Source organism: Homo sapiens, chromosome 15 (assembly GCF_000001405.40).
Source record: "Homo sapiens chromosome 15, GRCh38.p14 Primary Assembly".
NCBI classification, from domain to species: domain Eukaryota; kingdom Metazoa; phylum Chordata; class Mammalia; order Primates; family Hominidae; genus Homo; species Homo sapiens.
The window spans coordinates 76,149,670-76,167,343 of NC_000015.10; the positions used below are offsets into that span (position 1 = coordinate 76,149,670).

Genomic DNA, 17,674 nt, shown 5'->3' on the forward strand with positions numbered 1-17,674 from the left:
CTGTGATTTGGAGACAGTAGTTGCCAGCAACAGCCAAACAGATGGAAAAGTCTGGCTTTCCCCTCCATGACAACAGAGAAAAAAGGACTTGCCTTTTAAAGCAACTAGACGAGTTAACATTTGTAAAGTGCTCACAACAGCTCCTGGTGCACAATATGTATCTTAAGTGTTTGTTTAATCAATAAAACTAAAGTCCATGTCAATGACAGAAGTTACATTTCAGTCAGCCTCATGGCTTTCTCCAATATTTTAATCATCTGGAATAAATATAGTAAAGTGGGACCCAGGGGTTTTGCTGACCAACAAAACCATTGGCAAAGTCAGCTGTGACACCCAGGACACAGGTGTTCAGCATCATAGAACTGGCACGAGTGGAGCTAGGCGGGGCCCCAAATTACCCAATCCTGGGGCTTTAACCTGGAGCCTGGGTATCCTTAGATTATCCGTCAGTGAGATTCAAGGAGTCCGTGCACTCCCTGGAATGTTATGCACAGTGCTGTAGTTTTGTGCATTTGGGGGGTGTAAGGGCATAGCTTGTATCCACTGCTGGAGAGCTCTGCAGTCCAGAAAGCTTTTGAGCCCTTGTCTAGCAGAGCCTTCCTGAAGGCAGAGTGACAGCAGCTGGGGAAGCCCAGGGCCCCAGGCTTCGATCTGGCTCCTGCTACCAGGCAGCTTCCAGTCTCATTTTGATCACCTCCCTCAGCTCCTTCCTTGAGAACTTGAAGGATGAAAATCTCAAAGTAGGGCCGACAGGGTTAGCTAGTTTGGCTGCCTTCAGGGAGATGGGCTGATGCCGTGACTCTCCACTGCCTGTGAGCCCCTTTTAGGACACCTTGAGGGTCTCCACGGTCCCCCTGCTCTAGCCACTCCCCAGCTTGCACCTCAGGAGATTCAGTGCAGTCACTCCCCTCTCTGCCACCACGTGTCCTCCCAGCCACAGACAGCCTGGCAGCCACTGCAGACCAATTGCATAGTGGATTGTGGGGTGGGAGAGGCCAGGCCCCACAGAAGCAAGCACAGCCCTCCCCATCCTGGCGCCACACGGCTCTACTTCCCCTTCCAGATTGGGGCTGTTTCAGTGCCAGGCTTGGGAACGCTGCCTGACAGAGCAGTGGCTTGAGCCAGCTCCTTCCAGGTCACCCCTGTGGCTTTATCGCATATAAAGCCTCTGCCGGAAGTTTGTCAGTTCATTTTCATATTCTAGAATTTATTCTTTGAATTTTTTATGCAAACACCTAAGACTATGAAGCAGAAGCAGTGAAGGTACTCAGCCTCCCCTCCCACCCCAGGATTTCTCTGAGGCCTCAAGAGTGACTACCTTATGGTAGAATACTCGCCCACCTGCCAGGACATGCCATCTGCTTGTTGGTATTTGCAGACTCTGGCAGCCCAAGCCGGGCCCCTGGAGCTGTACCCTCCCTACAGCAGCACCAAGACAGGACATTGGGAAACGCCTGCCCTCTCGTGGCAATTCTGGGGATAACACCACCCTGAGAACCAGCCCTGGGGCCTTGATGGGCCGACGCTGAAGACAGAAGGAAAGCACCTTCTCTAATTAAACAGTCAACGCTGATTTCCCCTTTGGCCCACTAAGCCCCTTGAGTCATTACTGAACCACTCAGGAATCTTTTGAAACTGGTCACATTCTATTTCACTGCTAAAACACAGTCTTCTAGGAATGTCCGAGTCATCTGAATTTCAGATGAAATTTTATTGGCAGCTTGGGATTTTCAAACACTGGTCAACCAAAAGCCTGCGGCTTCAGCCCAGCCTCCCAGCCCCCAACCCACCCTCCAGGGCCCTGTTCTGGAGCCCTGGGGTCTGTGGTCTTGCAGTCTAGTGCAGCCCTGCCCTGTGTTTCTGCTCTTCAGGAAGGAGCCCAGAACCTACCTGAACACTCTTGCCCCACCCCACACACATAGCCTGCCTGCACTATTTCCTTGATGCTCCAGGGCTGCTTGACCCTGGCTTGCCTTCTTTGTCTCATCTCTCCTACTCCCAAACTCCCTTTGCCATACCCCCTTTACCTTTCTGAGATACCTGTTACCTCTTAGTAGGCCGCCAGAAGCATTTGTTCTCACCCAAAGCACCTGGGATCTCATTGAAATGCAGACTCAAATTCAGCAAGCACGGGGAAGGGCTGAGACGCCGCATTCCTAACAAGCGCCAGGTGATGCTGCTGCTGCTGCTCTGTAGATTCCACTGAGTATCGAGGACCTGGAACAGCGGTTTTCCATCCACCTTGATTGCACACTGGAGTCATCTGAGGAGGCCTGGGTCCTCCCGCAGAGGTTGTTGTTCAGGAGGTCTGGTGTGCAGCCTGGGCATTGGAGTTCTTAAGAGCTCTGTTGGGTGCTCTAGTGTGCAGCTGGGCTGAGATCCACTGACCTGGAGGCAGATCCCACCCCCAGTCTCCATGGCTCCCTGCTCCAAGGCAGCCAGGCCTCACCAGCCACTGTATCCCCTGGGTACCATCTTTTCCTTGACAGTGGTCTTCTGTCCTTCCACTTCCGTCGAGTCACCCCCATGTGCCTTGCCCTGGGGTTACCAAGAGGAGGGGGTGCACAGAGCAAGATGCAAGTGGTACCCCCAACAAGGAGACCTGCACGAACTCACTCCCAGACTGGCACAGTGGAGGGGTGGGTCGCTGAGGGCAGAGTGTGGGCAGGGGACAACTGAGCTGGCGTGAGAATGAAAGGACAGGCCCAGAGCAGCGTGGCACAGGCCTGATTGTGCAGCTGCCTCGGGTTTCTTGGGTGCTGTGTGTTGGCTGTGCCAAGGGCTGTGGCTGCACCAGCAGCATCTGCCCTAGCTGGTGGTGGGTGGTGAGCTATACCCCCTGCTGAAGGGGGAAGCCCTATCCTCCTCCCGGTCCAGCTCCTGGCTCCCATCACCCTGGTGTTTCTCATACTGGAGGTACTTCGGGGCTGAATAGAATTTTACCAGAAACAGTCCCTATTTAGTGTACATTTCAACCATGCCTGGATCGCTGTCCCCTCACCCCCATCAGCTTTCTCACATGTCGCTTTCTCACTGAGGCCTGCTCTGACCACCATATTTAAAATGTCAACTCATCCTTTACCCGTCCTAATCCCTCCACCAGCTCTGCGTGTCTTCCTTGTAGTACCCATCACACCAGCACCTGTTGTATTGATTGCCTGACCCTCTCTCCCACTAGAGTGTAACCTGCCCAAGAGCAGGGATTTTCGCCTCTCTTGATCACGCTGCCTACCTTAGCTGATGGTGGGGGCGGCGTTCATTTGACTTCAAGGCCGTCATCCCCTGCCTGGCATTCGAATCCTGCCATCTGCCCAGTCCTCTACCTGGCTCTTCCCTGAGGCTGAGGAGTGTGCTCTGGTGTCAGGGCCAGGCCAACTATGGGCTGACTTCAGACCACAGGTAACTCCAGACGCCCACCTCCTGCAGCTTCCTAACCACCTGATATGGTTAGTAAGTTTCTCTAACAAAAAAAAAAAGAAGAAAAAAACGACATTTTAAACAGCAATATAAATTGGCTTTTCCTCCCTTGGAGGCAGGTCAAGGTCTGAGTCTCCTGTTGATAGGGAACTGAATATATGGAACTAGTGCTCCTGAATACAATGCTTCGTTTCATTCCCTACTCCCTTCAGGACCCTCCTCTGGGGTAGAAGGAGCAGTGTCTTAGGGATGTCCAAGGCACGAAGGTGAACAAATGCCCGGCACCTTCCGTGGAACGTGAAGACGAGGCTTCCTGCTGGCCAGCCCAGGCAGATGGCCCTGGCAGCTGCCCTTTTTATTCATAACCGCCTGAAGGTGCTTGGCTCAGATTTCAAATGACAATGACATGCCATCAGTTTTAGGGGCCGCAGACAACGGTAATGGGCATTGGGGAGAATGTGGAATTGGAGCCAGGTGTCCTTGGGCCCTAGAAAAGACCATGCTAGAGCTGTGGGGGAGGAGTGAGCAGGCAGAGGGCAGGAGGGGAACCGGCTTCCGGGGGCGCTGAGGCGGCTGGAGGCTGGGTGTGAACTTGGGGTGAGAGGTGTGAAGGATGAAAATGGGGCTGGCAAAAGGGGAGGCAGGAATGTCACATCGTGGGAAAAGAAGCAGGGGGAGTAGGTGAGGCCGGAAGGAAGAATCAGGAGGTGAGGAGGGTGGCCAAGTGATGATAGCCAAAGATATCTTAAAATGCAAAGGCTCGTTAATGGATGGAAGCGCTGTGCCGCTGGCACTGCTGCGGGCAGCAGCTTTAGGCTTCTGGGAGCCTCCAGCCCAGCAGGGCCAAAGCTGTCATCTGAGCACCTGGCTTCCCTGGCCAGGTCCCTCCCTCCTGCCCCTTCGGGACAGATGGCCTTCCCATGCGCTTTTCCCCAGCTCATCCTGGCTTTCTGCCTGCATCCCAGGGTTCCCATGCATTCTCTGATCAAATCACAGCCGCCCTCACCAGGCCCTCTCCGGACCCCTTGGCTCTTGAGTTTAGGGCTGCCAACTTTACCAAATAAGAATACACGATTCCCAGTTAAATTTGGATTTCAGATAAGCAACAGATCATTTTTTAGTATGAGTCTGTTGTATGCAATGTTTAGGGTATACTAGAAAATTGCTCATTGTTTATGTGAAGTTGGGATGTAACTGGACATACTGCGCTTGATCTGGCAACCCTCCTGAGCTCCTCCCAGTTTCAGTCTGGGGTTTCCTCTGTAGCCCCTTGCTTGGTGATTGGCCCCTGTGTGCCGGCATGAAAGCAGAAAGATGTGGTTCTGCAATGGACTTCGAAATCCACCTGGAGTGGGCGATGGGGATGTTCATTGATGGCCTTCACCATCTGGCCCCCACAGACCATTCTCCTCCTGTTTTCTGCTTGTCCCTTAATGGAAAACCCTCTCTTTTGACCTGGCTGATTTCCTCATCTCTTGCCCCATACTCTTGGACCATGCGGGGTTCACATCGACCATCCCCAGCCCCATCCAACAAGGCCTCTTCCTCTTCCTCCTTTGCCTGTTGATGTCCTCCTACCTGTCTTTCTGGGAGCAGCTCCCTGAGTTTGGGGACTGGACACCAGTCTTTGCATTCCCCACAGAGTTGAGGACGGGGGCCTATCATTCCCAGAGGAGTTAGAAAATATTCAGAATGATGTGAATAAGCCCAGTGTCCTGCCAGGTTTCTTGAAGAGCTGTGAGCTTTGTCTGTCCTTCCAATGGCGGGGGACTCCTTCAGGCTTTCCCTGGATGGACTGTGAGGAAGAAGTCTCCTTGAAGCATTCACATTATTCCTTCCGAGAGAAGGGGGCGCCTCAGGGCACAGCCCCCTTCCCAACCCCATGTTCGGACCATCAGATATTTTATCATCATCGTCGTCATCATCACCAATCCATTTCAGCTGCATTGTCTTTACAGGGCAGATTAGTTCCCTCATTTAACTTTAGTGACCTGTGAGTTCAGGAGCATTATCCCTGTTTATACATGGGGAGGCAGAGGCGGAGGCCACAGTGGTGAGGAGCCTTCACTCGGGGCCCCAGGGTGGCTGAAGGCAGAGCCAGAAGTGTGGCCTCCTGGGCTGGTGCTGTGGCTGCCACTTCAGGATGCCTAGCTCTTCCTCAGCAAGGGAGGCAGGCAGGTCCTGTTCATACCTAAACTACCAAGCAGGTGAGGTTTGACCTCAGCTCCCCCATCTCTGTATTCCCCAGGCCCCTCAGAGGGGCCTTTCTTGTGCTCCTGAGAGGAGGGTGTCTAGTGCCCTGCAGAGCCCACCCAGCTCAGATTCTGTGACCCCTCCCACCTCCAGACCTGCTCAGGAAAGCTGCTGTCCTCGGAGGCCTGACCTCTGCTGTGATGTCCAGGGTCATATAGTCAAGGGTTTCCCTGAGAGTCCGTGGAACTCTAGTCTTGCCAGATTCTCACTCTGTGACAAAGGGTGTCACGGTCCAGCAAGTTTGGGAAGCCCTGATTCTGTAATCTCTTTGGGACCATGATGATGCATAAGAGCATATTGAAGGCCCTAAAATGCCCCACAGAGAAAAATATCCATTTAACTTCGTTGGACCCAAATTTCCCAAAACGTACCCAACCATGGAAACTTTTGCATCAAATAACAACTATGAACATTCTGTGGAACTAGTGTTCCACTCAGTCTACTTTGAAAAACAGCAATCTGGTTCAAATCTTCCTTTTTATAGCTGAAAAATGGAAAATCCATTCAGTGACTCATCGAGCATTTATTAAAGGCAAATTGAGATGCTCTCAAATGCCAGAGCCCATGTCACCGCATTCTTAGACACACGGAAGTGCAGTAATAACACATTGTTTCCACGCTGCACTTGCCACATAGGCCGACTGTCCGCTAACCCACCAGATGTTGGTCTCATACCCTTTTCAACTTTGAGAAGACTGAAGCACAGAGCTGCATGAGCTGCAGGTTTGCATATAAGCCCAGCTGTGAGCAGTGGCTCATTCCTGTAATCCCAGCACTTTGGAAGGCCGAGGTGGGCAGATCACCTGAGGTCAGGAGTTCGAGACCAGCCTGGCCAACATGATGAAACCCCATCTCTACAAAAATACAAAAATTAGCCGGGCATGGTGACACACACCTGTAGCCCCAGCTATTTGGGAGCCTGAGGCAGGAGAATTGCTTGAACCTGGGAGACAGAGGTTGCAGTGAGCTGAGATTGCACCACTGCACTCCAGCCTGGGCAACAGAGTAAGACTTTGTCTCAAAAAAGAAAAGAAAAGAAAAGAAAAAAAAAGTGGCCAGCTCCATTTCTTAATGAGATATTTTCACCCTTTATGACGCTCCCCAGCCTCTTGAATGAGGTTGTGTTTCGCCATGAAGCCTAGAGCCAGGGAGAGAGCCCGGGAGGAGTGACGCTGGTGGGTTTGAGAGCAGGGCTTTGGCCGGGGTCCACCCTCTTGTCCCCTCCCACTCTGAGCCTCTCTTCTCCCCACTTTTGTCCCCACAGGTCTAACTGGCTGAAGCCGTGCTGTGGGAAGAGAGCAGCCGTGTGGCAGGTATTTTTGCTCAGTGCAAGTCTCAACAGTTTCCTGGTAGCCTGTGTAATATTGGTGGTGATTCTCCTGACTCTGGAACTTCTAATAGATATAAAGCTTCTCCAGTGTGAGTAGCAAGAGAGATACATATGCCAATACATATGATGTCAATATTCAATGTGCATCTGCATTCATCAGGGGTCCCCAACCTGCAGGCTGTGATCTGCCCCCGCCGATGCTGCTGCCCAGCCTCAGGCCCTGGGGCTCATGGGGATGGCCGCTGGGGAGGAAATACATCTGGCAGCTTCTCTCTCTGTCACCCCCAGCCTCAGTTTGCCCCTCTCTGCCCAATGTGGCCTCTGCAGTCCCCTCCCCAGCATTCCATGATCAGAAACTGATGAGATGAAAAACGTTGGGGACCCCTGTATGCATTTTTTTTAATTGCTCCCATTTGGAATTTTCCAGGTTGGAATTTTCTGTAGTCTAAAGAGAGTTCCCATTTACGGAGGCATCTCAGCTTGTAGTAACTAATTATGACAGCGACCACAGTGATGATAAGATTCCTGGTATTTTTATCCAGCTGTGAGTTGGCAGTGTGATTTATACGTATCGTGATAGTTTTTAAAGCATTTTTCCGCACATTTGACACTACAGTAACCCTGTGAGATGGGCGAGATGGATATGATCCCATATTATAGACGAGGCAAATTAAGATTTGGAGAAGTGAGATACTTGCCCTAAGTAAGAGGTATTGGAGCTGGGACTTCAAGGCACCAGGTCATTTAACTGCTTGGCCAGTTCTCTTCCTCTTGGCATTTGTCTTAGTTTCACGTTAAACCTTGTCTTCCACCTCTTCTGTCCTGGATGTCCCATAGTGACATGGCTGTCTGAGTGGAGAATCCACTGCTTACCCCACCAGGCCTACCCCCCACTGTTTGTCACACCAGAGGGGCAGGAGCAGGTGTCTTGCCTCTTGACTTTGGATAAGTAAGTGGTTTCTGGTACAGTTCCTGGTTCCCTGTATTGCCCTGACTCAAAAGGTAGATCCTTCAAATGCAAATTTAAAAAGAGGCACAGGCCAGGTGTGGTGGCACATGCCTGTAATCTCATTTGGGGAGGCCAAGGTGGGAGGATCGCTTGAGCCCTGGAGTTTGAGACCAGCCTGGGGAACATGGCAAGGCCCTGTCTCTACAAAAAAATTTAAAAATTTCCCTGGCATAGTGGCACACGCCTGTAGTCCCAGCTCCTCGGGAGGCAGAAGTAGGAGGATCATTTGAGCCTGGGAGGTCAAGGCTGCAGTGAGCCGTGATCACGCCACTGCACTCCAGCCTGGGTGACAGAGTGAGACCCCATCTCAAATAAATAAGTAAATAAATAAATAAATAAATAAATAAATAGAGGTACAATTATCAGCTCCAGAGAGATTCTTTTCCTTCCATTGGCAAAATCCAGGACTGTAGATCCAGTCACCTCCAAACCCATTCAGACGTCTTGGCCTTCCATTCTCAAATGCCCCCAATTCCTTTATGGGATCCTGTGAACTCAGGGTCTGTCCAAGCTCCCTCCAAGTCACATGAGCCTTCTCTGCTCTCTCAGAGAGCGTGGACGGTGAGCACAGAATTGCTTTTGTCTGATAAGCCTAGTTGGGTTTTATGCAGCTGGTGGCCCCTTGGTTCCAATTAAAGGATCTTCCAGCATAAAGTGACCGGTACTGGTTTTACACTCAACCTGTCTTCAATTAAACCATGTTGTATACTTTCCCTCCCACTCACCCATACTGTCTGCTTTTTATGAGACCTGCCCATAACAGAGCCTTTCTTTCCCCGTGGCGGATTGTCCTCGGGGCCCTCGGCTGCTCGGGCTGTGACAAGGTATTGAGGAGAACTGAGAACCCAGCCGACACTGGAATTTTGCTTAAAATTAAGTATCCAGGAGATTGATTTTGGTCGGAGATCCAATAGCAGCTCATAAAAGGCATCTTAAATTCCATAAAACGCACAATCAGAGATTTATTGCTCTTCTAAAGCAAACCGTAAAAAAAGGCACAGGAATTCATTTGAGAAATAATGGGGAGAGATTTTATGTTTTCAGAATCATCTGGAGGTCTTCTTGGAGTCACACGGGCCTCAGCCTCTTCGTTCCCACTGGTATTCATGTGGCCTGACTCGGAGCTCATCTTCTAAGGGTCGTCTTGGCCCAAAGCCAGGGGGCCTCAGAGTCTCCCACCTGGAACCTGGTTTTGCAGCCGTCTTCCCCTGGCTACGCTCTGTGACTTGATTTCTACCCACCCCTAGGGTCTGCAGATCCCAGAGCTTCGGGAGAGGTTGTGGGTTCCTCTGTTTCAGTCTGGCCCTCCCTGCTGAAGGCACTGGGCACTTTCCCTTGGCCCTGGGGGGGGTTCTGAGCAGTGTGCCAAGCAGGCCTGGCTGCAGCTCACGAAGGAGGTAGAGCAGGCATGTTCTCAGCAGCATTCCTGCCTCTCACCCCCTCTCAGCCCTTCCCCAGTATCCCAGGGTATCCCACCAGTATTTCTTTTAGGCCTCTGGGGAGCCCTCTACCCTCTGGGGCAATCCCTCCCACCCAGTCTCCATCAGAGCTCACCTGACCCTTGTCCTGGGCCCCAGCATCCTGCTTTTGGCCTCGCTGGCTAAAAACCATGCCATGCCAGGGTTCAAAGGCTGGCTGTGGCTTCATGTATTTTAAAAGGGCTTTCCAAAGAAAATGCCTTAACTCTAAGGAGTGGCTGGTGAAAGGTGGGGCGGGAACCCTCAGGGGCTGATGGCTGTCCTCACTCCCACTCCAGAACCTGGGGGCGAGTAGGGCAATGTGGAAGTTTAGCAGACCTCATCCCACTGGCTCTGCCAATCTAGGGAGGGAGGCAGACACCTCCACCCCATGCCCAGCTCCCCTGCCAGTCCTCACTGCAGCCTTCTCTCTAAAACACACTGGCCGACACCACCGTCTCTGCCACTCGGTTTCCAGAATGAAAAGTCACAGTAAGCTCACCTAGAGTCCCCTGACTGTGCACAGCACTTTGGGGGTGAGCTGTGGGCTGGATTTCTAAAAGCCCATCCAGCCTCAACTGAAGCTGCCTACACAGCCCAAAAGCCGTGAATGTCTTCATGAGCCCCTTCTGGAGAGCTTCTTTCCTAGACTCTGGCTACAGCCAAAAGCCCACCAAGACCAAGCAGGAGCTGAGAGAGGCGGCCTGTGGGGGAGAAGGAGGCAGTCCCTTGCGTCGGAGGCAAGAAGAACAGCATCGTTGGCTCCCAAATGTCCTACTGCCTTCACTGCAGACGCCAGCTGAAGCTGCCCTTGCTCTCTGACCCAATTTCCACCAGATCTAAACGTTCATGCAGGCGGGCCCCGGGGTCCCAGAGGTCTGGACGGATGCTGCGAAGCCCCCATAGCAACGCACCTAATTCCTCACTCCTAAAATTGGTCCTTATCGTGTCCATTGCAGTTTCCAGCGCATTCCAGTTTGCTGGCGTGATTCACTGGATCAGCCTGGTCATTCTGTCCGTGTTCTTCTCAGAGGTAGGTGGAGACTCTGGCCCTGTCACCTCCTCTGTTGGGTGACTCCTGTCCTGGGGAAACCAAGGTCTACTTCTCGAAATGGTTTCTAGCATCAGGTCCCCTGCTAGCCCTTGAGGCTGCTGGGAGGGAGACACAATATAGATAGATGATCTCTGCGGGGGGAAGTGGTACAGGGAGCCCAACCCAGCCAGGGGGGTTTGGCCCTAGCAGGTGATTCCTGGGAGGAACCCCAGTGGATGAGCAGGTGTTCTCCAGGTGAGGGGTGGGCGATGACTGGTGAAGGTGAGACTGAATGTGGCGTCGAGGGGCAGCCAGTGTTGGGTGCAGCCAGTAAGGAGCGGGCGGGAGGTGAGGCTGAAGCCAGGTGCCCACACAGGGAAGCTCTTGGGCCGCTGTGGCTGTGGTCTTGGGCCCACAGTTGGCCGGACCTTTGGGGCTGAAGCACGCAGTGGGTGGGGGAACGGGGTCACAGGGCCAGGCAGTGGACCTGACCTGGTCCTGCAGGGGCCCTGGGTCTGACAGGGCCGAAAGATGTGCCTCTCAGTGTGAGTGCGAGGCTGTATTTCCGAGGTGGGGGCTCAGGGAGCACGGATCGCCGTCAGCGTTGCTGGAGTCGGCTAGTAGAGACCAAGTGCGAATCTCTGTGGTGAGGGGAGGGGGAAAGTTTATGGAGATCCGCAGGCCCCCGGGCTTGGTGCAGAAGCTGGCATGTCTGGGCAGCACATTCCTCTGTTTTTTCATGGCGGTGAGTGACACTTCCTTTGAGCAGTTCCCAGGCTGTCCCAGTGAGACTCTGGCCTGCATCTGGGTGTGGGAGGAATTGGCTTGGTCCTGCTGCAGGCAGGGTTTTATCCTGTCCCGTGCGCACTGGAGGGTCACTGAAGGACAGGAGAGTTTCATGTGGAAAACTGGTTTCTCCTAACAGAGCCTAGGACTGGCCCAAGTCAGCGGGCCACTGTGTCACTCTACCCTTGAGTGTCCCATCCCTGCTATGGGTACATATTAGCCCATGCAAAGTCCCGTGGGCCTTTCAGCATGGCTCAGGAAACCCTCAGGGAAAGGCAGGAACGAGGGAGGCACAGCACCTGCTGGGAACATACGCACATCTCACACCAACGGGAGCTGCTCTACCTGAGGCACAGGGGCTCTGGGACCCCGAGACGGGGGGCCTTGAAGGGAGGAAGGATGCTATGGGAGAGGGTGGCGTGGGCAGAGGCACTGAGGTGGGGAACCCCGGGAGTCAGGAGTCCCAGCATCCTCCTGTGTGTCCCCTCTGGCCTAGCTAATGGCTCTGCTCTCTCTCTCTCTCTCTCCCTAAAAATCAGGAGGGAGCTGGGCTTTGGGTCTTGAGTCCAGAATCCTGAGTCCGGGTGTGGGGTGTGGTGGGCCGGGCAGCAGGCATTCCAAGCATGGAACATTCCCTTTCCTGGGCCTCGCCTCCTACAGCCCACGGAGCTGGCTGGTGAGCCTGGGCCTGAGGCTCAGATGGAGGGGGCAGATCGCAGCACTGCCCTCCCAGAAGGGGTCCTAACCACCTCCCTGAGACCATTGCCCTGGAGGTGCCTCTGCCCCGCAGAGCAGAGTGCCTGCTCCCCAGCTTACAGCCCCCATGTGGGTCTTGCCCTCCCTGGCCTCTTGTCTCTGCCCGGCCAGGATTCCCTCCCGCAAACACATGGGCCGTGGCCAGATGTCTCCTTGATGCAAACCTTGGAAAATGTGCCATGTGTCTGTGACTGCCAACAAAAATGTTTAATCAGTTGCTGCGGTTCTTCCCCTCTATCCCTCTGCTTTAGTTTTATTGGCTTTTGCAGAATTTATTGCCCAGCGTTAATTTGGCATTCCCTTCCTGTCACTGCCGGAGACAAGCCACCTGAAACAGACAAACCCCTGTGCACAGGAATCGCAGCCTCAGAGTCCCCCATAGGCACCCCCAAACCAGGGAAGGGCTGGGTCCTCCCACAGCTGAGCGGGGAGAGCAGGGTCTGCAGGAGACTGGGGAGGAAGGGCTGGCTCCGTTACCTTGACCTTGTCAAAGATGGTGAGGGGGTGGAGCCAGGCCGCCGGTAGCAGGGGCCACCCCTGCCAGTGTCCAGCGTGAATGGAGGGCCGGTGCATGGAGATCGAGTGACGAATGAATGAGGCACAGAACCTGCGGGAATACACACACAGCTCACACCACACTAGCAAGCACAGATTTCCATGGTCTTGCTGCGTGCCCGTAAGAACCATGTCAGAACCTTGTTACTAGAAGGGTCTCATGGAGGTCTCCTGCCTCCAGACAGCTTGGAAACATGCGACCATGTCTGTGCCCCTCACAATGACTGGGATGCCCAGTAGGAAGGGCCAGGAGAGCTCAGTGTCCGTCAGTGGTGGGTCAGCCTGTGTGTTTGCCCACCATACCAGTGGCGTCCTTTCAAAATACTGCACAGACAAGGAGAGCAGCTTAGGGTTATGCGGCCAGTTAAGATCAAAACTGGACCTAGGGCTCTGGGCACCTAAGCTGGTCTCTTGCCCCTGACTGCATCCTTTGGAGGCCCTGAAGCTGGCAGGGTGGGCAGGGACCAGGGGTCTCTGGGAAGGACCTGAGAAAGAAAGTCCGACCGAGTGATCACTCAGACCACAGACCCAGGACGACTGGCACCCCCTCCTCAGCTGGGAGAAATGAGTACCACGTCTTCAGGTCTGCCAGTTCTTTCCTGGTTAATACCCAGGGATGTGGCTGTGGGCCGAGGGTGGGGCGGCACTCCGAGCCTCCTTGGCCTTAGGGAGTGGGCATTACTCCACAGGAAATTCCAAGAAGGTCACCCCACCGGGGCTCCTGCTGTCCTGGAGCCCTGGGCCTGTCCTGAACAGTTCTCCACCCCTCCTCTCAGCTGAGCCTTAGGACAGTCCTGGAAGGTGGGTAGGACATTTTATGAGTTGTGAAACTGAGGCCTGGAGAGGTGCGGAAACCTGCCCAGGGCCTGCAGGAATGGCAGGTGGGCCCAAGTGCAGGCCTCTGGGTGGGTGAGCGGGCCTCTGCCCCGGCCTTTGCCCACCCTGGAGCTCTGCAGGCTGCTCTGGGAAGATGGGCTACTTTGCTCTGTGCTGGCCCCAGGCCATAGAGCTAGGCCCAGAGAAGGGGAGTGTGAGGCTGGTTTGGGCTCCGTTTGAGGACATCTGTTCAAATGGGCCAAGCTGTTTGACAGTGAGACAGATGCTCTCAAAGCAGTGAGAGTGGGTGCCCCTCATCAGGCAGGCTGTGCAGGGGTCCCTGCACAGGGTCCAAGGTGAGACTGGATGCCCATGAGACTTCCTGGGCCCCAGTCTTCCAGGTCACGCAGGGTCACTGCGCTTCACGTGGCCCTGCAGCACCAAGAATATGCAGGGCCTTGCAATCCAGATGGAGAATTGTGCAAACGTTCCTCCAAAGCGCAGCCCCGCCCTTGGCTGAGGCCAGGCCCAGCTGGCCACTTGGAACTGGGAAGCCTGCTGCTCCTCCCCCGAGACTGCAGGAGTCCTTGGGGCCTCCTGGCCAAGGCCAGGCCACCCTGCAGCAGGGCCCAGTGCAGGCTGTGGGGTGTTGGTCGCATCCCTGGGGTCTGGAAAGGCCCAGGCAGCCCCAGCTCTTTCCCTGGGAGAAGAGAAAGCGGAGCCGCGGCTGGCCTTCTAGACAGGAGCCTCAGGCAGTGGTGGCAGCAGCTACTGACTCTCCTCTCCCTCTCTTCCTCCTCCTTCTGTTGAGGTGAAATTCTCTTCACATAACCCTTTTACAGTGGACAATTCCGTGGCATTTAGTACCCACACGGTGATGTGCAGCCGTCACTTCTACCTGATTCCAAAGCACTTTCATCACCCTCAAAAGGAGACCCCATTCCCAGTAGCAGTCACTCCCCCTGCCCCCTATACGGCCGCCCTGCCAGCTAGTAATCTGCTTTTGTCTCTGTGAACTTAACTCTTCCGGATATTTCATGTAAACAAAATCTTACAGTGTGTAGTCTTTTGTGACTGCGGCTTTTAGCATGTTTTCTCGGTTCATCCACGATGTAGCACAGCACACTTTCTTTTTTCTTTTCGAGACAGGGTCTCACTCTGTCACCCAGGCTGGGGTGCAATGGTCCAATCACAGCTCACTGCAGCTGCAACCTCTTTGGCTCAAGTGATCCCCTCACCTCAGTCTTCCAAGTAGCTGGGATTACAGTCGTGCATCACCACACCTGGCTAATTTTTGTATGTTTTTTGTAGAGATGGGGTTTCGCCATGTTGCCCAGGCTGGTCTCAAACTCCTGAGCTCAAGTGATCCTCCCTACTTGGCCTCCCAAAGTGCTGGGATTACAGGCAAGAGCCACTGTGTCCAGCCCCAATTTTTCTTCTCCTCACCAGTGTGAGACTGGTGACAGTGTCAGCTACCACACAGATCTTCACATTTCTTACTTTGGCCTTGTAGTTGGATCCTGGAATCCACGTCTTCCTCTTGCCATTGTAGTTTAACCCCAGGGAAAATTTGTCCAAGAGCAGATCTGCTTCTTAAGGAAGTGCCAGGGGTCAGCCAGCAGTGCCTGGTACCCATGGTGGCTGTTCCTTAGACCAGCCTGCTCCCCTGAGCCACGCACCACCCTACGCCCCCAACCCACTGCCGACAGTGTTGGGTGGCCGCGGGCTTGGGGCTAGACACGGCTGCTCCCTTCTCCCTGGCTGGCGGGCCCCACATGGGGATGGCTCTGCAGGGCACAGGGGTGTCCAGCCCCCATTCTGCTCACTAAGAGGTGATCTGGGGATCTCCCTCTGCCTTTTAAAAATTTGCACAAAGCCAGCTTATAGACTAACAGCTACTTCTGCCTACATCTCCTAAGGTTTCCAAACTCTGGCAGCCTCATCAGGCCCCTCCCCAGGGAAAGACGCTGATTCTGCTGAGGGGAGGGCCTCGGCCTCAGGCAGCAGGAAGGGGCAGGAGCCCTTTCTGCCATTTGGCTGAGGCAGGGCCTGGACCAGGTGCAAGGCTTGGGATTTCCCACTCTCCCCTCCTGCAGCCTGAAGCCTGGACCCCTTCCTTCAGAGAAGTCAGCTTTTGCTTCCCTTGGAAGAGATGAGGGGAGTCCCTTCTTGAGAGCAGGGCTTGACCAGGAGCAGAAGATGAGGGCACCTGAGGCGGAAGGCAAGAGGGGTCCAGGGACCAGAAGGTTCACTTGCCACTCTTCGCACCTCAGTTTCTGCATCTCTCAAATGGTATAAAAACTTTGCTCATAATACTCAATAAATGGCACCATCCTTGAGTGTTTGCCAAGGCTGTAGCCTACACTGCTTATCAGAGCAGCCTCCTGAAGGCAAAACTGGGATAAAGGAGGCTGAAAACCCTTCGCTCCAGGTGGGAAAGGAGGAGGCTGAAGCTGGGGATTCCAGCTCCTCAGATGCTCCTTCAAAGGCCTTTGCAACTTTTAGGGGCCAGTATTGCAAGGCCACGGCCCTGGGGCTGGGGCTGGGGCTATGGCTGGGGGTGGGGCAATCCCTCATCGTCACCCTGCTTTTTTAGTGAGCCGTGTGCCTCGCTGAGCTCTGGAGCAGCTCTGAAGGTGGCCGCATGAGGGGCGTGGATCTGCTTTCAGTCCAGATCTGTCCAGAGATCCGGCCAGTGTCAGGTGGTTAGTAAGGAATGATCGGAGCCAGAAAGAGGACTAGACTCTTGACTCCCCATCTAACACCCTTTCTCGTTATTGCTTGTGGGCCTGTGGTCTCCTGTTGTAACCCGGGGCAGGGTCGCCTCACACATCCCTGCGGTTCCGTCGGGTGCTCCGGGGGAGTTTGTTTAAAAAGCATATTCCGGGGCTTGTGCCCAGAGTTTCTGATATCCTGGCTGTCCACGAGAGTCCAGGAATCTGCGTTTCACGTAAACCCCCCGATGCTGCTTAAGCGGGGAGTCCTTGGCTGCACATTGAGAAGCACAGGCAGTCCGTGGGTTAGTCCAGCGCGTGTTTTCGGAGGTGTTAAGACTATACTCAGTCTGTGCGGGGCAGGGCAGTGAGGTTCTGTCCCTGCCTCCGTGGACAGTGGGTCTCGGCAAAGGTGTCTGGGGAGGGGAAGGATGCTGCGGGGGGGAAAAGCCAGCAGGTGGGGTGTATCAGAGCCAGGGTCACTCTGGCCTTGACCCTGACCTGGAGCCACCGCTTCCCCATCTCTAGCAGGAGGCCTGGCTGGGAGGTGTTTCCCAAGCCCTCTCCACAGCGGCCTCTTGCTATTCTGTTTCCATGGGCTGAGCTAAGAAGGAAAGGCTCCCAGAAGAGTGGGGCTCAAGCCAGGCCTCCGAGGATGGGTCCCCTGCGGATGGGCCAGCACAGAGGGAAGGCAGCGGCTGGGATTCTAGCTGTTTCACCTGCTTCCCTGGCACTGCTCTGGTTCATAAAACCATTCAGCCCCTTTCCTTCCCGGGGCACAGAGGCTCTGGGTGCGCTGTCTGCTGCCTCCTCTTCCTGCTCAACTTCTGCTGGCTGAGTCCCACCCTGGCCGGCTCCCTCCACCCCTCACTCCTGGGCCTCTGCCTTTTCAGCTAAGAAGAGTGTTGTTTCTAAAGAAGCATGATGATTCCTCTTATTTGAGGATCCTAAAGGAGTCAGATTCATAGAGACAGAAAGTAGAATGGGGAGAGGTAGAATAGGGAGTTACTGTTCAGCGGGTACAGAGTTTCAGTTTGGGAAGGTGAGAAAGCTCTAAAGGTGCATGGTGGTGATGGCTGCACAGCAGTGTGAATGTACTTAACACACTTGGACACTTCAAAATTGTTAAGATGGTGTGTTTTGTGTTATGTGTATTTTACCACCATTTTAAAAGGAGAAGAAGGGGGAGGAAGAGGAGGAGCGGCTGCCATAGCAGAAATTATATTTGCACCAGGCCGTATTCCCATCTTCCCAGCCTGGACTTTTGTCTTGGACACCCCAGAATTGAGAGTTCAGGATAGATATGGCTATTGTAGCATTTCAGAGGAGACAAACACTAAGTTTCAATCTCAGCACAATTACAGGGGTTGGGCAGCAACAAAAGAAACCATATGGCTGGGCGCGGTGGCTCATGCCTGTAATCCCAGCACTTTGGGAGGCCGAGGCTGGCGGATCATGAGGTCGGTAGATCGAGACCATCCTGGCTAACATGGTGAAACCCCGTCTCTACTAAAAATACAAAAAATTAGCCGGGCATGGTGGCGGGTG

The 17,674-nt window shown here is 54.0% G+C and overlaps 1 protein-coding gene across 4 annotated transcripts in view, besides 6 other annotated features; it reads left to right on the forward strand.

The window, feature by feature from the left end:
• TMEM266 (transmembrane protein 266) overlaps positions 1-17,674 on the forward strand; it is a 144,979-nt gene that overhangs the window by 89,685 nt on the left and 37,620 nt on the right. For 3 of the 4 annotated variants that reach the window (XM_047432151.1, XM_017021915.2, NM_152335.5), the window contains 2 exons: positions 6,935-7,089; positions 10,426-10,499. In XM_047432151.1, the coding sequence (XP_047288107.1) occupies positions 6,935-7,089; positions 10,426-10,499 (229 nt within the window). The remainder of the gene's footprint in view (positions 1-6,934; positions 7,090-10,425; positions 10,500-17,674) is intronic. The other variant, XM_005254160.4, reaches the window with a different exon arrangement.
• Positions 412-675: a silencer, noted in NCBI's record as "fragment chr15:76442422-76442685 (GRCh37/hg19 assembly coordinates)". NCBI's record gives its function as "represses an EF-1alpha promoter that drives an FKBP-Casp9 reporter gene in an ReSE screen in HepG2 liver carcinoma cells {active_cell/tissue: HepG2}" and the evidence as "EXISTENCE:reporter gene assay evidence [ECO:0000049][PMID:32094911]".
• Positions 949-1,527: an enhancer, noted in NCBI's record as "H3K27ac-H3K4me1 hESC enhancer chr15:76442959-76443537 (GRCh37/hg19 assembly coordinates)". NCBI's record gives its function as "activates a minimal SCP1, AML or CMV promoter by ChIP-STARR-seq in primed H9 embryonic stem cells {active_cell/tissue: H9 hESC(primed)}" and the evidence as "EXISTENCE:reporter gene assay evidence [ECO:0000049][PMID:30033119]".
• Positions 1,151-1,240: an enhancer, noted in NCBI's record as "active region_9872". NCBI's record gives its function as "activates an Ori minimal core promoter by ATAC-STARR-seq in GM12878 lymphoblastoid cells {active_cell/tissue: GM12878}" and the evidence as "EXISTENCE:reporter gene assay evidence [ECO:0000049][PMID:35858748]".
• Positions 1,611-1,700: an enhancer, noted in NCBI's record as "active region_9873". NCBI's record gives its function as "activates an Ori minimal core promoter by ATAC-STARR-seq in GM12878 lymphoblastoid cells {active_cell/tissue: GM12878}" and the evidence as "EXISTENCE:reporter gene assay evidence [ECO:0000049][PMID:35858748]".
• Positions 1,996-2,626: an enhancer, noted in NCBI's record as "H3K27ac-H3K4me1 hESC enhancer chr15:76444006-76444636 (GRCh37/hg19 assembly coordinates)". NCBI's record gives its function as "activates a minimal SCP1, AML or CMV promoter by ChIP-STARR-seq in naive H9 embryonic stem cells {active_cell/tissue: H9 hESC(naive)}" and the evidence as "EXISTENCE:reporter gene assay evidence [ECO:0000049][PMID:30033119]".
• Positions 11,353-12,190: an enhancer, noted in NCBI's record as "H3K4me1 hESC enhancer chr15:76453363-76454200 (GRCh37/hg19 assembly coordinates)". NCBI's record gives its function as "activates a minimal SCP1, AML or CMV promoter by ChIP-STARR-seq in primed H9 embryonic stem cells {active_cell/tissue: H9 hESC(primed)}" and the evidence as "EXISTENCE:reporter gene assay evidence [ECO:0000049][PMID:30033119]".